Source organism: Homo sapiens, chromosome 17, assembly GCF_000001405.40.
Source record: "Homo sapiens chromosome 17, GRCh38.p14 Primary Assembly".
NCBI classification, from domain to species: Eukaryota; Metazoa; Chordata; class Mammalia; order Primates; family Hominidae; genus Homo; species Homo sapiens.
The window spans coordinates 43,472,388-43,492,575 of record NC_000017.11 but is presented as its reverse complement, the minus strand read 5'-3'; the positions used below and the strand labels follow the sequence as shown (position 1 = coordinate 43,492,575).

The 20,188-nt window shown below is 44.6% G+C and overlaps 1 protein-coding gene, 1 non-coding gene and 2 pseudogenes across 13 annotated transcripts in view, besides 2 other annotated features; 1 reads left to right on the top strand and 3 right to left on the bottom strand.

Moving 5' to 3' along the window:
- DHX8 (DEAH-box helicase 8) overlaps positions 1 to 8,601 on the bottom strand; it is a 60,825-nt gene extending 52,224 nt beyond the window's left edge. For 10 of the 12 annotated variants that reach the window (NR_136228.3, NR_136225.2, NR_136227.2 and 7 more), the window contains exons 1-5: positions 8,391 to 8,601; positions 3,042 to 3,127; positions 2,113 to 2,185; positions 1,326 to 1,411; positions 284 to 393 (exon numbers count right to left, since the gene is read on the bottom strand). Coding sequence is in view for 7 of the 12 variants with exons in the window: in NM_001322219.2 (NP_001309148.1) it covers positions 284 to 393; positions 1,326 to 1,411; positions 2,113 to 2,185; positions 3,042 to 3,127; positions 8,391 to 8,538 (503 nt within the window). In the remaining 5 variants the exon portion in view is untranslated. Of the gene's footprint in view, positions 1 to 201; positions 394 to 1,325; positions 1,412 to 2,112; positions 2,186 to 3,041; positions 3,128 to 8,390 lie in introns of all 12 variants that reach the window. The other 2 variants (NM_001322216.2, NM_001322217.2) reach the window with 2 other exon arrangements.
- On the top strand, positions 6,118 to 6,178 carry LOC124904112 (U7 small nuclear RNA). The gene has a single exon (XR_007065986.1). It is a non-coding gene; the product is annotated as a U7 small nuclear RNA (small nuclear RNA).
- Positions 8,066 to 8,908: an enhancer, noted in NCBI's record as "OCT4-NANOG-H3K27ac-H3K4me1 hESC enhancer chr17:41561036-41561878 (GRCh37/hg19 assembly coordinates)". NCBI's record gives its function as "activates a minimal SCP1, AML or CMV promoter by ChIP-STARR-seq in naive and primed H9 embryonic stem cells {active_cell/tissue: H9 hESC(naive and primed)}" and the evidence as "EXISTENCE:reporter gene assay evidence [ECO:0000049][PMID:30033119]".
- Positions 8,337 to 8,766: an enhancer, noted in NCBI's record as "active region_12243". NCBI's record gives its function as "activates an Ori minimal core promoter by ATAC-STARR-seq in GM12878 lymphoblastoid cells {active_cell/tissue: GM12878}" and the evidence as "EXISTENCE:reporter gene assay evidence [ECO:0000049][PMID:35858748]".
- Positions 15,811 to 16,422, bottom strand: RPL29P31 (ribosomal protein L29 pseudogene 31; annotated as a pseudogene).
- On the bottom strand, positions 18,886 to 18,991 carry RNU6-971P (RNA, U6 small nuclear 971, pseudogene; annotated as a pseudogene).

The following is a 20,188-nucleotide window of genomic DNA, read 5'->3' as shown; positions in this document are numbered from 1 at the left end:
GTTTTGAACTGAATTAGAGTTTCAATAACTACGACATCCCTATAAGCCAATAAAGAATTGAGCCACAAACATATTCAGCCTCTTTCAACCCTGACTTCTATATTCTGAACAACCTAGCATTTGCTACATACACTTAGCAGGAAGCAATGAAAACAGATCCAACAATATGATATATGACCAGTCCAGATTCTGTAAACTTGCCCAAAATTTTGCTTGGCTGGTCCATAATATTCAACTGTCACAGTACCCTAAACTTCCAAAGGACAGGACACTAAGGACAAACCGGTGTTCAGCATCTCTTTGCTTCTCCTGGCCTGCTGCGCTGGGCATTAAAGCTTCCAGTTCTTTCAGGACATCCACAGCAACTTTCACATCATCTTCATCCAACATGGTCTGCAGAGGTAGAGGCCGGCAAAGTTAGGAAAAAAAACTACTCAAGAATCTGTATGTACCTCAGGTACATCTATAAATCACTAATCACTATGTGAGGGAAATAGAAGAGGGGCAGAGATTTCAAACTTGATTCAGGATAGATGCAGAAGAAATGGAAAAAAGGCTCTTGAGAATTACTGCTACATTTGACAAATCCCCTCTGTCCTTAATAGAATTCTATGAAAGGCAGTTAGATATTAATCATCCCTGCCATGAAAGAATGCAAGTGATGATTATATTAATAGAAAACAGGTGTTAAAAATTTTAAAAAGCAACTCTCCCTCTGCACTCTTCCTCCCTACCCCCACTCCAGCTTTATTTTTTTAAATAGCCCTTATTGCTATCTGCTATGTTACATACCTATTTGTTTGTTTATTGCCTATCTCCTCCCCACCAGAATGTTTACATGTTTATTTCCTGCTCCCTACCCCAAAATTAGGATATAATCTCCAAAGGCTGAAACTCTTGTCTGTTCTGTTCACTGCTGTTATCCAGGTACTTAGAACAGTGTTTGGCATACAGTAAGTACTCAATAAATATTTATTAAAATGAAATTTAAAAATCAAAATGCTTTAAAAATTAGACCTTTAACAAGTAACAGAGCAAAAAAAAAAAATCTAATTTCACACCTTAGGCATCTGTTCCAGAACCTTATTTCATATTCCTAATCACTACTTCCCCAAATTCCCAATCTCATTTCCCTTGAATATCATTCTCAGAACCCCTTAACAAATTCAATACATAGTACATGCTCAGGGAGTGATCAAACACTTTCATTCTTAAAAATAAGTTACAACAAAGGCAAACTTAAAATTAATAAAATTACTATGAGACAAAGAAAAGGGGTTGAGAATATATATTTATAGTAGACACTCTTAAAATGGTATCAGTACCCGAACAGAAGGGTTGTCCGGTTGGCAAAGGACTGGGAAGAGTTCCTTCAGCTTTTCTTTTTCTGTTTTAGGTTTAACAACTGGATCTTGTTTCATTAAAGAGCATGAAGGGGTTAAAAAAAGAGATATATATTTAATATTATTAATGATTAACAAAATAACTTCAACAATAGATTTGTATCAAACTGAAACAGAACATGGCATTTTGCTATATATTAATCATACCTGTTACTATAAATGTAATTTAATTTTCTAAATACATTGATCACAAACTATCTCGAAATGTAGCAGAAAGAGGAGTGTAGCAATACTCATTGGGTTATGTCTTATCTTTTTTATTTTGTCTTAAGTCGTTTGAAATTTTTTTTCCCCTTGAAACGGGGAAAAAAACCTCTGTCACTCAGGCTAAAGTACATTGGTGCAACTATGGCTCACTGCAGCTTCACCCTTTTGGACTCAAGCAACACTCCTTCCTTAGCCTCCCAAGTAGCTGGAACTACGGAGGCACGCCATCATGCCTGGCTAATTTTTTTATTTTTTTGTAGAGATGAGGTCTCTCTATGTTGCCCAGGCTGGTCTAAAACTCCTGGGCTCAAGTGATACTCCCACCTTGGCCTCCCAAAGTGCTGGGATTCCAGCAGTGAGCCGCTAGGCCCAGCCCATTTGAAAAATCTTACTGGAACATTTACTTGCTCAGCAACTGCTGAGAGGAAAACAAATGCAATTTACAGGATGTTCAAAACCTACACCATTCTAGAAGCTAAGCTCAGCTGGAAGCTCTGCTTACCTTTGCTAGTGGAAGGCTTCGCTGGAGGCCGCATGGTTTGTATGAGACGCAGCAAGTTACTAATAAGAGAATCCTTTGAAAAGAAACATAGAACGAAAATTGTCAGCTCCCATATCAGTGCTTAAATACACTTAAAAGGCAAAGAATGTCCTGTAGGGAAGGGTGGTTACGCACTTGAATTTAGCTAATTGGAATACATGAAACATAGTGTGTCAACCTGGTGTAGCATGAACCTAGTATAATAGCTTCAGAGAAAGCCGATATTTAGGACTCTTTGGGGAGAAAAGTTATTAGGCTCCCTGCAACCATTTTATTTCCCAAGGTTTAGAACTACCCCCAAAACTTGTTTCCAACTTCCTGACTCACAGAACAAGAATGTAAATACCTACAAAGACTTAATGATGAAAATCCTGCCCTGTTTTCCTAGAGGTATCACAGAAAATCTGGTTAAATCATCACTACTTAATGGCATGAAAACATTACACACTTAATGGCTTATTTAATTGATATGTATAAAATTGTCTCCTTCCTATATCAAAATCCTATATTAAACCCTATCAAAATTTAAAATCAATAGTGACATTAAAACATAAATTATGTAATCCCAGCACTTTGGAAGGCCGAGGCGGGTGGATCACGAGGTCAGGAGATCGAGACCATCCTGGCTAACACGGTGAAACCCCATCTCTACTAAAAATACAAAAAATTAGCCGGGCATGGTGGCAGGCACCTGTAGTCCCAGCTACTTGGGAGACTGAGGCAAGAGAATGGCGTGAACCCGGGAGGCGGAGCTTGCAGTGAGCTGAGGTGGCGCCACTGCACTCCAGCCCAGGCGACAGAGCAAAACTCTGTCTCAAAAAAAAAAACAAACAAACAAACATAAATTAAAACATTAATATCTACAGATTATCTTCTCCACATATACATACCGTAAATTCTGCACCATTTTTGACGAGAGAAGCCTTAAAAGTATCAAAGGTGGTATTTTTCTCAGCAAGACTGATCACAAATTCAGCTGCAAATAAGAAACAGAATTCAGAAAAGAAGAGACATGAACAAGAAATCAGTTTCAAGTATGGTGAAAACAAAACTAATTAGGTTATCCAACAGTAATAAAAAACAAAGACCACCATCTGGTAAGGGTAAAGAGAGAAAATCTGGCCAGGTGTGGTGGCTCATGCCTGTAATCCCAACACTCTGGGAGGCCAAGGCAGGCGGATCACTTGAGGTTAGGAGTTCAAGATGAGCCTGGCTAACACAGTGAAACCCCGTCTCTATTAAAAATACAAAAATTAGCTGGGTGTGGTGGCAGGCACCTGTAATCCCAGCTACTTGGGAGACTGAGGCAGGAGAATCACTTGAACCCGGGAGGCAGAGGTTGCAGTAAGCCGGCATTGCGCCACTGCACTCCAGCCTGGGCAACAGAGTGAGACTCCGTCTCAAAAAAAAACAAAAAAAACAAAACAAGAAAACAAGAGAGAAAATCTAGACTGCTGAAATTATCCACACATATTCTAGAGAATTTATACAAATGAAAGGAAGATATTACTACAAAATGGCTCAATGTAGCCCTTGAGTGCATTTAAACTAGGAAGACCTATTTGACCCACATCATGGTACCCTCTTCTCACAAAACCACTACCTGGGCACGCTGCCACCTAGACTAGACTGTAAAGGTGACAATAAAAAGCATGAGCCCATGTAGACACACAGAGGCACACAACAGAAGGACAGACCCAATCTGTATATGAGGGCCAGGCAGCTGCTGGGTGGTGCAATCTCCACATTGATGAAAGACTTTTTTGCCAAATTTTTCTCCACAAACCTGCCTAGTTCTTCTTTTTTTTTTTTTTAAGACAGAGTCTGGCTCTGTCGCCCAGGCTGGAGTGCAGCGGTGCGATATCGGCTCACTGCAACCTCCACCTCCCGGGTTCACGCCATTCTCCTGCCTCAGCCTCCCGAGTAGCTGGGACTACAGGCGCCCACCACCACGCCTGGCTAATTTTTTGTATTTTTAGCAGAGACAGGGTTTCACCATGTTAGCCAGGATGGTCTTGATCTCCTGACCTTGTGATCCACCCGCCTCAGCTTCCCAAAGTGCTGGGATTACAGGCATAAGCCACTGTGCCCGGCACACCTGCCTAGTTCTTGAAACTTTCTTTTTTTCTTTTTTTTTTCTTTTTTTTGAGACGGAGTCTCGCTCTGTCGCCCAGGCTGGAGTGCAGTGGCGGGATCTTGGCTCACTGCCACCTCTGCCCCCTGAGTTTAAGCGATTCTTCTGCCTCAGCCTCCCAAGTAGCTGGGGCTACAGGCGCATGCCACCATGACCGGCTAATTTTTATATTTTTAGTACAGACAGGATTTCACCATATTGGCCAGGCTGGTCTCGAACCCACGACCTTGTGATTTGCCTGCCTCGGCCTCCCAAAGTTCTGGGATTACAGTCATGAGCCACCGCACCTGGACTTTTTTTATTTTTTCATTTTTTTTTAACAGTCTCACTCTGTCTCTCAGGCTGGAGTACAGTGGTACGATCTTGGCTCATTGCAACCTCCGCCTCTCGGGTTCAAGCAATTCTCTTGTCTCAGCCTCCTAAGTAGCTGGGATTACAGGTGCCCTCCACCACGCCTGGCTAATTTTTGTAGTTTTAGTAGAGACGGGGTTTTGCCACATTGGCCAGGCTGGTCTTGAACTCCTGACCTCAGGTAATCCTACTGCCTCAGCCTCCCGAAGTGCTGGGATTACAGGCATGAGCCACTGTGCCCGGCCTAGTTCTTGAAACTTCTAATATTAGAGCTATTTATTAAGCTACTTTCAGACAGTGGCTCACGCCTGTAATGCCAGCACTTTGGGAGGTTGTGGTGGGCAGATTGCTCGAGCCCAGGAGTTAAAGACCAGCCTGGGCAACATGGCAAAACACCATCTCTACAAAAAATACAAAAATCAGCCGGGGGTGGTGGTATGCATCTGTAGTCCTAGCTACTCGGGAGTAGACTGAGATAATAAGCCTCATACTATGAGACCCACAAAAAAACTGTAATGCTTTCATTTGAATGCTAATCCTAGAAAAGTAAATGAATAAATAACATGAAAGATCTAGATGACTAACTCATAAAGTAGTACTACCATACAATTTCCATCCTGGAATGTGCCTTTATCTTTCTGATAAAGTGAAAGCCAAATGCCATCAGGCTACACGAACACATCTTATGCATAATAAGTTAGTAACGATAATGTCAATGGTTAATACTTTTTGAACATTACTACGTGCCAGGCACTATGCTAAGTGCTTTTTATGGGTTACTTCATGATCCCCAAAACAACCCTCATAAGTAGGTGCTATTATTGTCATGTTTTACAATGAGGAAGCTGACGGTTTGAGACACTGACCTACCCAATAATAACTGGGGGGAGCTAGGAATAAAACCCAGGCAATCTAACTTCAGAGGCTACATTCTTTCAAGAAATGTGGAGGGAGAACTAAGTCCCATGGTGCTAGGCATGTCATGCTCAAAAGAGCCCCTCCCAAAGCAGTCTGAAGCACATTCTCACTGCCAGCCATCAGTAATCTTTTTTTTTTTTTTTTTTGAGACGGAGTCTTGCTCTGTCACTAAGGCTGGAGGGCAGTGGCACGATCCTCTCACTGCAACCTCCCCATCCCAGGTTCAAGTGATTCTCCTGCCTCAGCCTCCTGAGTAGCTAGGATTACAGGCGTGCACCACCACGCCCTGCTAATTTTTGTATTTTTAGTAAGACAGGGTTTCACCATGTTGGTCAGGCTGGTCTCGAACTCCTGACCTCGTGATCCACCCGCCTTGGCCTCCCAAAGTGCTGGGATTACATGTGTGAGCCACTGCGCCTGGTCCCATTAATCAGTATTTTTAATTTTCACAATTATACAGGGGAATTGTTAAATTAACTGAATCCATTATAAAAAATTAATTTATAGTTTAAAAAAATTCATTGGTGAAAACAGTAAAAATAACACTAATTTAAATGATAATCCAGTATTACAGTTCTTTTAGAATTTGTCTAGCAGGTTTTCCAGTTTTCATCGGAAACTCTACTATCTCAACTCTCCCAAAAATTAAATACATAAATTAATAAGTCATCCATCAGGGTCAAAAGCAAAAGAATCAAGTCAGCAAACAAAACATAAAAGAAGCAAATATATGCCTTTCTGTTATTAAACCCAACTCTGCCAATTTAGTTTCAACAAAAGACACTGTCTATTGCATTAAACCAATATTAGTACTTTTTTTTTTTTTTTTTGAAATAAAGTCTTGCTCTTTTCGTCCAGGCTGGAGTGCAGTGATGTGATTTCAGCTCACTGAAACCTCCGTCTCCTGAGTTCAAGCGATTCTCCTGCCTCAGCCTCCTGCATAGCACCAGTCACCATGGCCAGCTAATTTTTGTATTTTTTTTTTTTAGTAGAAATGGCGTTTCGCCATGTTGGCCAGGCTGGTCTCAAACTCCTGACCTCAGGGGATCGGCCTGTCTTGGCCTTCCAAAGTGCTGGGATTACAGGCGTGAGCCACCAAACCCAGCCAATGTTAGTACTTTTAATGTTACTGGTTTTATAATTCTGTATGTAACAGAAAAAGCATATTTGTGGGTTTTCTGCAAATTAATTGAGATCTTTAGCTATAAATAAACTAAAAGATTATGAAGTTTATACTTCGCTCTATTTTTGTACACAAATGAAGTTAACATCAAAACAATTAAACACTGGGGGTTAATGTCAATAACTTTTTTGTTTCTTCTAAAAGGCCAAGGTATTAGGAGTTAAAATGAAAACAGAGAGAAAGGTAAGCTCCCTGAAAGCAGAAATCTGTCTTGTTCTCTGTGGTATGCCTAGCCCCCAGCTCAATATTTGCTGAATAAAGGAAACATATTAACGAGATAGCAAAACCGACGAAATTATCACCTCATTATCAACTAAAAGAGAAGAATCCTGCGGGAAAAGTTATATAGGACAGACACATCTTGGCTGGGAGGCAAGAGAAAAAAGTAAACTAAAATATACTGGCTGCAGGGCATCTTCCTAAATGCTATATGGTGACCCTGTGAAGACATCGTCCCACTTCACAGATGAGAAAAACAGCTTCAGAGAAACTATGAATCTTACCAAAGGTCACTCGTCTAACTTCCCTAACCCCTCCTGTCACCTGCCCCTTCCCTTCCATCCCTCCGGTTGATGACTTTATCTTCATTTAGGAAACTGAAGAGTGGGCTGGAACTCTCTCACTCATCTTCCCACCACCAATCTCTAAACTCATCTGAATCTGCAACTGTATTCTCTGTCCTCGCTCCTGTTACAACTGAAGAAGCCTTGCTGTACGTACCAAAGGTCAATCCATCCATTGGTTGCCCTTGATCCCATCCATCCTCTGTACCTTCATAAAGGCTCCATCTGTCTATGGCTTTAGCTTTAGGACCCTAGCCTTTTCTAATTCCTCAGTTTCGGCTCCCCAGATGTAGTTTGCCCCAAAACATCTAGTGACTGGTGTTTAAGACATAGTACAGGACGCAATGGCTCACGCCTGTAATCCCAACACTTTGGGAGGCCGAGGGAAGAGGACTGCTTGAGCCCAGAAGTTCGAGACCAGCCTGGGCAATACAGTGAGACCCCCGTCTCTACAAAAAATTTAAAAATGAGTCGAGCTTGGTGGCGCCCGCCTGTAGTCCCAGCTACTCGGGAGGCTGAGGTGGGAGGACTGCTTGAGCCCAGGAGGTGGAGGCTGCAGTGAGCCGAGATCGTGCCACTGCACTCCAGCCCGGGAAACAGAGCGAGGCCCTGCCTCAAAAAAGAGTACAGGATGAACGGTCAAAGAACACAGTTAAAAGCACAGACGCTAACTACTATGTCACAGAGTGGCGTGAAGACCAAATAAAATAATGTCAATAAAGAGCTGAGCATCGCATCTAGCACATAGTGAGCACCCAATAAACGTCAGCCATCATCGTCGTCATCGCAGCATCTGCTGCTGTTGTTGTTAAACATGTTTAATTGAGGCTGAAAAAACAAACAAAAAACAATCAAGCAGAGATGACCGCCCCGGGCTTCACTGACAGCTCTGGGAAAGTTTCTAAAGTTTCTCGAGGGCTCTCAAGCCGAGGCCACGGCAGCGTGTACCCTGGGCACCGGTGTCTGCGACAGAGAGAGACAGATTCACACGAACATACTTTCGGTCCATCAACCACCTTTCTCCTTCCTCCTTCCTCCTTCCGCTTCCCTCAATCCCAAACTGAGGTCCCAGGGACCTCCCCGAGCTCACCAAGGTCCTTGTCGTTGATCCCCAAGTGATTGTCCAGCTCAGTGCAAACCTTTGACACCAAAGACAGGTACTCGAGTTTGGCAAGTTCTTCCGCGGGGCCTGGCTCCGACCCGATTAAGGCTCCCGCCATGGCTACAGCCACAGCCATGGCTATAGCTTGCCCAGAACCTCCTTCCTCACAGCCGGCGCTCAGAGCTACTCCGGCCGGGTTCCAGCTTTCACTTCCGGGTCAGCGCGCGTCCCCTTTGTTTACGGTAAATTGAAAATTTGAGGAACGAATCAAGTCCCAACAGGATGGATCATAGAGATCAAACAGGAAGTGCTTAAGGAAGGGACAACTAGAGTGGGTTACTCTGCACGCCGATCTGCGCCCTCTACAGGCGAGAAAAATCTCCGCCCGCCCTCAGGCCTGGAAACGTTCACTCAGCGCGCTCCCGCCCTGGGTCGGCAGAGGGCGACCCCGGCCTGCACAAGAGGCGCCGGGAGGCAACCGCAAAACAGCCTGCGCCTGCGCTTTAGAACACTTGAAAAAGGAATCTTAATGCACGTCTGGAAAAAGACAAACTTGCTTTACTGTGGATCCGCAAATTCCCGGCCTCACTTCTTTGTGGTTCCTGTCGTCCGATCTCAAGTGACCCTTGACAAGCCAGTAGGCAGTAGATTGCCTTCTCTTGTTTTACACACGAAGAAACTGGCACTTCCACTGCCAGCTGGCTGCTTGGGCAAATCAATCTCTGGGGCCTTAGTTTTCTCATCTGTAAACTAGAATAATGTTGCTCTACCCTAAATGGAATAACTGCAAGGAGTGTGACACAGAGTAGGCACACCGCAAATGACAGTTACTGTTAATATCACAAGGCTAGGCCGGGTGCAGTGGCTCACGCCTGTAATGCCAGCACTTTGGGAGGCCGAGGCTGGTGGATCACTTGAGGTCAGGAGTTCCAGACCAGCCTGGCCAACGTGGCGAAACTCCATCTCTACTAAAAATAGAAAACTTAGCCGGGCGTGGTGGTGGTGGGCGCCTGTAGTCCCAGCTACTCGGGAGGCTGAGGCACAAGAATCGCTTGAACCCAGGAGGCAGAGGTTGGAGTGACCTGAGTTCACACCACTACACTCCAGCATGGGCGACAGAGTGAGACTTTGTCTCAAAAAAAAAAAAAAAAAAATTCAAGGCTGAGATGATGGTCACAGAACTGGCCTCTGGTCTGTCAAGCACAGATCCCCTTAGTCTGGGAACCCACAGAGCCAGCTGCCTCCACTCTTGTGAAAACCTGCTTTTCAATCCCCAGTTTTCCTGTGTCCTCTCAGAACTTATTCCCCCAGGGGCTGGGCACTGTGGCTCACCCCTGTAATCCCAGCACTTTGGGAGGCCGAGACGGGCGGATCACTTGAGGTCAGGAGTTCAAGACCACTCTGGCCAACATGGTGAAACCTCGTCTGTACTAAAAATACAAAAATTAGCTGGGCGTGATGGTATGTGCCTGTAGTCCCAGCTACTAGGGAGGCTGAGGCGGGAGAATTGCTTGAACCTGGGAGGTGGATGTTGCAGTGAGCTGAGATCTCGCCACTGCACTCTAGCCTGTGCGACAGAGTGAGACTCCGTCTCAAACAAACAAAACACACACACAAAAACAACAACAAACCTTATTCCCCCAAATATCAGCTGTGCTGTAAGTCCAAGGTCATAAGCTCAGGTCTCCCAACTTCTGCTTCAGGTCTTTTTTACCTTTGTGGCAACCTTAATGTGGGATGGGGATTTTTCCCACACTCCAGTGCTCTGTGTGATGAGTAAGGAAACAGAAGCACCCTAAAGTGAATGGCTCTCCAATCAATCGGAAGGAGGAAATCAGTCTCCCACTTTTCACTTTGGCAACATTTTTACACTGGTGTACCTTTGGACTCTGTTTCTTCAACATCTCATCATGGACTGAAAAATGACAGGCAGAGAAAAACCCAGCCATTGTTCTCACTGTCTCCAGAAGCTCCAGGTTTCCAGGTTCCTAAGGAATCACTACTAAACCCTCTGAGTTCTTCCTACCCCTCCCCATTTCGCTTCCTCTTTCTCCCCATGAATAGAATGGAAAACTCTGCACTTGATCCAATGTGCTCAATTTGCCAGCTTGGAGTTACGATTTCAAGGGCTTATTCTATCTGATGTTCATTCTCTGTGCTTCTTTCTCTTTAAAAATTAATATTACTATTCTGCTTTCCTCCAATATTTAACCGGAAGGAGGAACAGATAGGGAGTTTGTTTTGTTTTCAAAGCTCTGTCAGAATAGGGGCTATGGAACCATAACATGTAGCAGCAGTAGTAGCAATAAATACTAGAATTAATAAATACTAAATGTTAGAATTGTTTGGGAATTATTGAACATATATATCAATAGTAAATATTAACAGCAAAACATTACATTTTATTTAGATATGCCATTAACTGCACATTTTAAGAAGTGACAGTTTTTCTGCAATATACATATTTCTTGCAACACCAAAAATTTCTTTGAAGCCAAAGGAAAACAAATAGTTATGTAGATACAGATAACTTGACAGCCCAAACACAGATGCACATGGAATCCTCCTACTCTTCCTCCCCATAAGAGACCGTGAATCGAACGCAGTGCAAAAGTAAATGTTTCCGAACTGTCCTCTGGATAGAATATTTTTCAACATAATATCAGATATAATTAATTTTCATTATTAGGTCGGGTGCAGTGGCTCACACCTGTAATCCCAGCACTTTGGGAGGCTGAAGCAGGCAGATCGCCTGAGGTCAGGAGTTCGAGACCAGCCCGGCCAACATGGTGAAACCCCGACTCTACTAAAACTACAAAAATTAGTCGGGCGTGGTGGCATACACTTGTAGTCCCAGCTATTCGGGAGGCTGAGTCAGGAGAATTGCTTGAACCCAGGAGGCGGAGGTTGCAGTGAGCCAAGATCACGCCAATGTACTCTAGCCTGGGCGACAGTGATACTCTGTTTCAAAAAATAAAATAATAATAATAAATTTCCATTATTATTGTATGACTTTCCTTGGACAGCCTCCATGTGGCCCTTTAATAGCCCAGTAAATAATTTACCTCTACATATAACTTATGCTCATACTACCCATATCACCACTCATGATGGATAAGAAATTATTTCCTGATACCAAACTTGTAGTAACAGGGATGTTACTTTTCTGCCTGTTCCTAGACTTATAGATGTGTTTAACCCTACCCCCGATTTCCATGTTATTTCTGCTCTGTCCCAGAGACTGGTCCCAGCTGCTGGAATTTGGGAAAGAACTTGGGGGTTGGGATGAGGTAGAAAGCAGAGAGAAAGTACTGAACCTCTTAGCAACATCAGGTTGAGTTGGTAAGGGAGAAGAAATTATCTAAGTACGTGTAGCTGAAAGACAGCATCCTTAGGGAAGTTTGTGAGAAAAATCATAGGGCTTTCTGTCAAAACAGTGTTGCCACAACCCAGACAACCCTGGCCTTTTCTGCTGGGGTAAAATGGATCTTAGGGGAGACATCTCTGCTCTAGGAGGCAAAATCAGAATGGTTTGCTTCTAAGCATATGACTACCACTCAACTGTTACTGTCATTCATGCAGGGAGACTTCAGAAAGAGTGGCCCCTTCTTCCCTGCTCCACTTGGGCCCTGACCCAACCAGAGAGCCTGGGAGCCCCCAGAGAAAGTAAAATTCCTTATTTTTCACTGTTTGACTTTTCCCCAGAATTCATCTCCAAATTTGGACCAACTTATTAAATTTGTATTAAACTTCAACCTTGTGACCAGGCACTGTGGCAGGTTCTAAAAAGGATAGGAGGTCTGAAAGTGGAAAAACATCAAGGAAGAACTAGAATACTCTGAATGCCATTCTCAGCCAAGGGGTCTCCTGGCAGAGCTGTGTTTATAACTTAGATCTCTGCTGCCTAAACATGAGGGCAGGTGATTGGAAGACAGAAAAAAAAAAAAAAAAGCTGGTCTGTTTACCGTCATCTGAGGGCAGGCAGATTGGGGTTGGAGGGCAAGTCTACTTCACAGGGCAGTTTATCCTGTTGCAATCTGTTATTTGTTTGCCTTATTTTCTAATACCCAAGCGCAGCCTCATTTTTGCGCAAAACATTCCTGACCTACAGTTCCCTCTCTTTTTAGGCCATCAACCTGCCATCAGCAATAACAGATGCTTTAGATTCTAAATTCTCCAAGGCTTTATAGTATTAGGCAAAAAAAAAAAAAAAAAAATGTTCTTCCTAAGCAGATTTTTTTTTTGGTATAGTCAAGTTTCCCATTTCTCTTGCATTTTAAGACTCTTCAAAATGTCAGGCAAAAACAAACACAAAGCCAGGCACCCAGACACCATTATGATATGAACTTGTCAAGAAAATGGTATTCCCCCATCTCGGCCTCTCCACCTTCTGTGGAAATGGCAAGGAATTTTTTCATATTTATTTATCAGTTTTTCATCTTTTTTCTTTTTTTCTTTTTTCTTTTCTTTTTTTTTTTTTTTTTTTTTTTTTTTTTTGAGATGGTGTCTTGCTCTGTTGCCCAGGCTAGAGTGCAGTGGCACAATCTCGGCTCACTGCAAGCTCTGCATCCCGGGTTCACACCATTCTCCTGCCTCAGCCTCCTGAGTAGCTGGGACTACAGGCGCCTGCCACCACGCCCAGCTAACTTTTTGTATTTTTAGTAGAGACGGGGTTTCCCGTGTTAGCCAGGATGGTCTCGATCTCCTGACCTCGTGATCTGCCCGCCTCAGACTCCCAAAGTGCTGGGATTACAGCCATGAGCCACTGCGCCAGTTACTCATCTTTTAAGCGACCTTGATTCAGGATCTAGTTGGTATTTTTTAGACTTAGTTTAGGTTGATTTTATTTAAAAAGAAAAACACTGGGCTGGGCACGGTGGCTCACCCCTATAATCCCAGCACTTTAGGAGGCCAGGGCAGGCAGATCACCTGAGGTCAGGAGTTCGAGACCAACCTGGCCAACATGGTGAAACCAAGTCTCTACTTTAAAAATACCAAAATTAGCCAGGCATGATGGTGGGCGCCTGGAATCCCAGCTACTCGGGAGGCTGAGGTAGGAGAATCGCTGGAACCTGAGAGGTGGAGTTTGCAGTGAGCCGAGATCGTGCCATTGCACTCCAGCCTGGGCGACAGAATGAGACTCTGTCTCAAAAAAAAAAAAAAAAAAAATGGCCAGGCATGGTGGCTCACACCTGCAATCCCAGCACTTTGGGAGGCCAAAGTGGGAGGATTGCTTGGGGCCAGGAGTTGGAGACCAGCCTCGACAATAAAGCAAGGCTCCATCTCTATTAAAAATAATAAAGAACAAGAAAACAATTTTAATCCATATTATAAGTATGAATGACAAAGTGACAAGTTACACTGGGCTTTTTCTGTTTTCCCCCTCCCTAATGATATTTAGCCTCTGCTCCAGGGTACTAGGGATTTTTGTAGTATCTGGTTTCTATTTGAGGTAATTTCTTCAGAAATTAATAAGGATTTCCTCAGGAGAAATGCAAAAACAAAAACCAAGACAAACCAAGGAATGAGTTGATGGGAAAAGATGAGAGAAGAGGAACTGAAGTTCTGAAGTTCTGTTGATGTTCTGTTTGCAAGTCAAACATGTCAACAGCTGGGCAGTGTGGGCTGTGCAGTGAGCCGAGGGCCAAAGCTCTGTCTTAAGCCACAGGCTTGCCACTAACACAGAAGAAACTGCTCCTCCAGGATCTCCATTTCTCCCAAGTAAAGGATAATGGGCTCCGAGCACACCCTCCACCCCAAATCTAAGAGTGTCCTGGCAGAACCAGCCATATGCAACTCTTTCCCCAGCTCTCAGGTAGAACAGCTTTGGCGGTACAAATAGCTGCTGCCCTTGTGCCAGAATAGCAAGTCCCTTCGTCTTGGGATTACAGTAATTATGGTGATTTATGCCTCCAGAGTGAAAATTAGCAATCTGGTGAGGTAACTAAAAATGAATGCATCTCTTCCCAGAGTTCACTCCACCCAGCTGAGCCACCGAATAAAACCAGCATATGGGGCAATTAGAGAGCCAAGTGCTGCTTTCAAAATGCAGTATAAAGAGACAGAGTTCAGGGGCCCAGGTTCCCCTGCCTGGTTCAATAATGATCACAAGTTCCTAACAAGCGTCCTCTTTGCCTCACAATACCATGCCAAGTCTGAGTCCTCCCGTAAACACCAACCTGCAGTTGTGTCTTTCAAGCAAAGTAATTTGTTCCACGACATCACCACTTTACCTTTTTTAAATTATTATTATTGCAAATTGACTGAGGGAGGGGAAAGGGGGAAGTGAGGATAAACCTCTATTACATGGATACGTGTGAAGCAAAGGTTTTTTTTTCCTTCTTAGCCATACATTTGCTTTTATGTGACACAGACTCTGATCTTACCTAACTTCCACAGTCTACTATCAAATACTGGTGACAGTAGAATTTATATTAAAAGTTTTGCTGGGCATGGTGGCTCATGCCTGTAATTCCAGCACTTTGTTTTATTTATTTATTTATTTAGAGACAGAGTCTCGCTCTGTCCCAGGCTAGAGTGCAGTGGCACCACCATGGCTCACTGCAACCTCAACCTCCTGGGCTCAAGCAATCCTCCTCCCTCAGACTCCTGAGTAGCTGGGACTACAGACATGTGCCATCATGCCCAGCTAATTTTTGTAATTTTTGTAGAGGTGGAGTCCGTGTTGCTCAGGCTGGTCTCAAACTCCTGGGCTTAAGGGATCCAACCACCTTGGCCTCCCAAGGTGGTGGGATTACGGATATGAACCACCACACCCAGCCATTCTTAGTACTTTGGGAGGCTGAGGCAGGAGGATCCCCCGAGGCCAGGAGTTCAAGACCAGCTTGGTCAACATAGTAAGAACCCCCGTCTCTACAAAAAATTTAAAAATTAGCTGGGCATGTAGCTCATGTCTGTAGTCCCAGCTATTTAGGAGGCTGAGGCCGGAGAATTGGTTGAGCCCAGGAGTTTGAGGCCGCAGTGAGCTATGATGTCACCACTGCACTCCAGCCTGGGTGATAGAGTGAGATCCTGTCTCAAAAAAAACAAAATTTTTTTTTGAAAGACATATAGGTCCAATAGTGATTGATTATCCTTATCATTGAGCACATGCAGAAATTCCTAAAATAGTCCAAGTCTATCCCCATGGACTTGGACTTGATGGGACTTCATATGTAACAAGGATAGATTGGGGTCACACTGTCAGCCACTTGGAAATTTGGATGTAAGTGCAGTATTCACTCATTCATATTTCTCATAGAGTTTTAGAGTTGAAAGGGGTTTAAGAGGTAATATAATCAAACCCACACATTAGATTCTATCATTATTTAAAGTGGCTTGACTTCTAAATCTCATTCTGTGAAATTCCCTCTGACCCAACTTATTCTTTTTCTTTTCTTTTTATTTTTCCTACCTCAGGTTTATTTGAGGACCCCAGCCCCGTGCAGATGGCAGCCCGGGGGGTATCGCACCAATCCTTCTGTACTCACGTTGGCAGACAGAGATACCTACTCTGAAGCCTTTGTAGGGGCCTGGGCACCTTTGGGAGCCTGAGCTGGAACTGAAGCTGGAGCTGCAGCCTGGGCCTTGGTTTGATCCTTGGCCTTGGCCTTTGGCCAGCACAGCCTGAGCCCCTTGGCAATGCGGGCACGAGCCCGCTTCCCAAGCTTGGGGTGGGCAATGTAGGCAAGTCGATCGAGCTTGCAGCTGACACCCTTTGGGATCTTGAGCTTAACCTCCTTGGGCTTTACGAGGGCCTTGATAACCTCAGCACGTGCACTCATGGCCTTGTCACTGTTGGCCTGCATCTTCTTTAGGACCTTCTTGTTTTGCTTCTTGGCAAAGCACATGTTCCTCGGGAACTTGGGGTCCATCCCCTTAAGAGATTCATATCTTCGTGATCGGGGTTTCTTGATACCATTTCTGTGCCTTTTTCGGGACTGGTTGTTTGTGCTGTGGTTCTTGGACTTGGCCATGTCTGCACCTTAAGCTGTGGCTCCTGAAGCACCTAGAACTGGAAATATTCTGCTTTTTCTCTACCACTGAACATTTCATGTTGTCTCTAAGTCATTCATCTACACTTTTCTCTCCAATTATCAGCACTCTTTTCATTTCACTCATATTTCCTCCTGGCCTAGATCTCATGCTCAGCCATTTTGAAATTTGCTCATAAATGCCAAGGATTTCTTCCCTTCACTGGTTTTCTACTGCCCGTGTTTTCCCAGCCCCAGCTGGCTCCTATTGCCCTGTTTCTCCCCTCCCACACTGCAGGATATTGCTGGAGAAAGTCCCAAGGTCACGCTGGTTTGACCCAGTATAGATTCACAATTCCAAACCTCACCTGGGCTTCATTTGGGCTTTTTTTTTTTTTTAGATGGAGTTTCCCTCTTGCTGCCCAGGCTGGAGTGCAATGGTGTGATCTCAGCTCGCTGCAACTGGCTCACTGCAACCTCCGCCTCCCAGGTTCAAGTGATTCTCCTGCCTCAGCCTCCCGAGTACCTAGTATTACAGGCGCCCGCCACCATGCCTGGCTAATTTTTTGTATTTTTGGTAGAGAGGGGGTTTCACCATGCTGGCCAGGCTGGTTTTGAACTTCTGACCACAGGTGATACAGCCGCCTCGGCCTCCCAAAATGCTGGGATTACAGGCATGAGCCACGGCGCCTGGCCTGGGCTCTTTTTGACGGTGGCTTTCTATACAGTGTTGCCTAAGACTTCTCAACTCCCTTAAGCCCAAAATCCACCCCTGCCACACTTATTATAAGACCTCATTTTCTACTTACAGGGAAGATGGAGGTCATTCAAGACCCCACCCCCACCCCTGCCATCACCTTTATCTTAGAATTAGTCCATATCTTTACCTTCTGTCTCTAGGAACATCTCTTCCCCTGCAGAAAGCACATGCCTCATCTCATCCCCCTCCACTGATGACTCCTCTCATCCCTCATGTTCTTACCCTTTTTCTCTCTCCTTACTTCTTACCCTCTTCCCACAAACATGCTCAATTCTGCATCAACCTAAAAATAGAAAATCTTTTCCCAGCTGGGCACAGTGGCTCACGCATGTAATCCTAGCACTTTGGGAGGCTGAAGCAGGTGAATCGCTTGAGTACAGGAGTTCCAGACCAGCCAAGGCAACATGGTGAAATCCCATCTCTATAAGAAATACGAAAATTAGCTGGGTGTGGTGGTGGGCACCTGTAGTCCTAGCTACTCAGGAGTCTGAGGTGGGAGGATCATCTGAGCCCGGGAGGGTGAGGCTGCAGTGAGCTGTGATTGTGCCACTGCACTCCAGCCTGGGTGACAGAGTGAGACTCTGTCTCATAATAAAATAAAATAAAATAAAAATACAGAAAATCTTTTCCGTATCTGCTTCTCCCTCAATGTGCTACCCCTTCTCTTTTTCCTGATACAACCAGAGTTTAGGGAAGAGTAATCTGTACTTAAAGCTCTCCCCCAACCTCCACTTCCAACTTATTTCCTCAACCACTGACCATTTGCTTCTATCCTAGTGGTGTTATTCATTTATGTATTCGCTCACTCAACAGATAGTTGTCAAGAACCCTCTGTACGCCAGTAATTGTCAAAACTTCTGTCTCAGAGAGTTTACCAGTTACCTCCTGATCCCATAGTTCTCAAACTTTGCTGTGCATTGGAATCACTTGGTATTTTTTTAAAATCCTGGTGCCTGAGTCCCACCCTGAGATAGTCTGAATTAATTGGCCTGGGTGTGACCTGGGCTTCAGGACTTTTTTTTTTTTTTTTTTGACAGAGTCTAGCTCTTTTGCCCAGGCTGGAGTGCAGTGGTGTGATCTTGGCTCACTGTAACCTCTGCCTCACGAGTTCAAGTGATTCTCCTGCCTCAGCCTCCCTAGTAGCTGGGATTACAGGTACATGCCACCACGCCCGGCTAATTTTTGTGTTTTTAGTAGAGACGGGTTTTCACCATGTTGGCCAGGCTGGTCTCGATCTCCGGACCTGAAGTGATCTGCCGGCCTCAGCCTCCCAAAATACTGGGATTACAGGCGTGAGCCATCAGGCCCAGCCTGTCCTAATCTCCTAGTGCAGGGTTTTTCAACCTCAGCACAATTGCTATTTTGGGCCAGGATTATTCTTTGTTGTTGGGGGTTTTCCTATGCATTGCAGAGTGTTTAGCAGCACCTGTGTCCTCTAATTTCTAGATGATAGAAGCACACACATTTCCTTTCACAGTCATCACAAACCAAAAATGTCTCCAGACATGGCCAGATGTCCCCTGGAAGTGGCAAAATAGGCCCTGGTTGAGAAGCACTGCCCTCGTGTCTTCAGTTCTCCTCCTCCTTGATCTGTCTGTAACACTGTGAAACCCCTTTCAGAAGCCTCTCGTTATTAAAAAAATTTTTTTATAGAGATGAGGTCTTGCTATGTTGCCCAGGCTGGTCTTGAACCTCAGCCTCCCAAAGTGCTGGGAGCACAGGCATGAGCCACTGTGCCTGGACTTTTTAAAAAAATATGGAACATTTCACGAATTTGCACATCATCCTTGCACAGGGGACATGCTAATCTTCCTGTATGGTTCCAATTTTAGTAAATGTGCTGCTGAAGCAAGCGCTCTCCTTTCCTTTGGCTTTCACAGCACTGTTCTCTGTGACTCAGTATGGAAGGACATAGTGATATTCAAAAGATGTTTGTAGAATGGATCTAGAAGTTGCTCATGTGTATTTGGCTCACCTCTGATTGGCCACTTATCTGTACGGGAGACTGGAAATGTAATCTTTATTGTGGGTCTAGCATGAGTTTAGCTAAAGACCAGGGTTCTAGTCCTACAGTACATCCAGGTCATACTTTTAACTCGTTTTCTCCTTCCCACTGCCTGGAAGTACAGTTACAGTAGTGTTAAGCCATCTTGGACAATGTGAGCAAAGGCATGACCCTGGGCTTGGTGGAGCAAAAAGATAGGAGAAACCTGAGTCGCTGACGTCCCAGAGCCACCACACCAACCCTAGACTGCTTACTCTTGAATTATGTGAAAAAGAAAAAAAAGGCCAGGCGCGGTGGCTCATACCTGTAATCCCAGCACGTTGGGAGCCCAAGGCGGGTGGATCACGAGGTCAGGAGTTCAAGACCATCCTGGCCAAGATGGTGAAACCCCGTCTCTACTAAAAACACAAAAATTAGCCAGATGTGGTGGTGAGCACCTGTAATCCCAGCTACTCGGGAGGCTGAGGCAGAGAATTGCTTGAACCCAGGAGGCAGAGGTTGCAGTGAGCAGAGATCGCGCCACTGCACTCCAGCCTGGGCGACAGAGTGAGACTTCGTCTCAAAAAAAAAAAAAAAGAAGAAAAAAAAAGAGAGAGAGAAAAAAAAACCCTCTGTCTGGTTTAAGCCTACCATTAATAGGGTATCATGACTGCATTACCTGAACCTACATCCTAGTAAGTAGACCCAATCAGGTTCAACTTTCACTTTCAGCAGCTCTCAGATCTATATGTCCACCGAAACACTCCCAAGATCCAATCCCACATTTCAGCTACCTTCTGGACTCTCCAGCTGAATGTCCAACTAGAATCTTAAAACCTAGGACGTACATTTAAAACCAAAGTTGGCTGGGTGCGGTGGCTCATGCCTGTAATCTCAGCACTTTGGAAGGCTGAGGTGGGCGGACCACCTGAGATCAGGAGTTCAAGACCAATCTGGCCAACATGGTGAAACCCCGTCTTTACTAAAAATACAAAAATTAGCCAGGTGTGGTGGTGGGTCCCTGTAATCCCAGCTACTCTGGAGGCTGAGGCAGGAGAATCACTTGAAT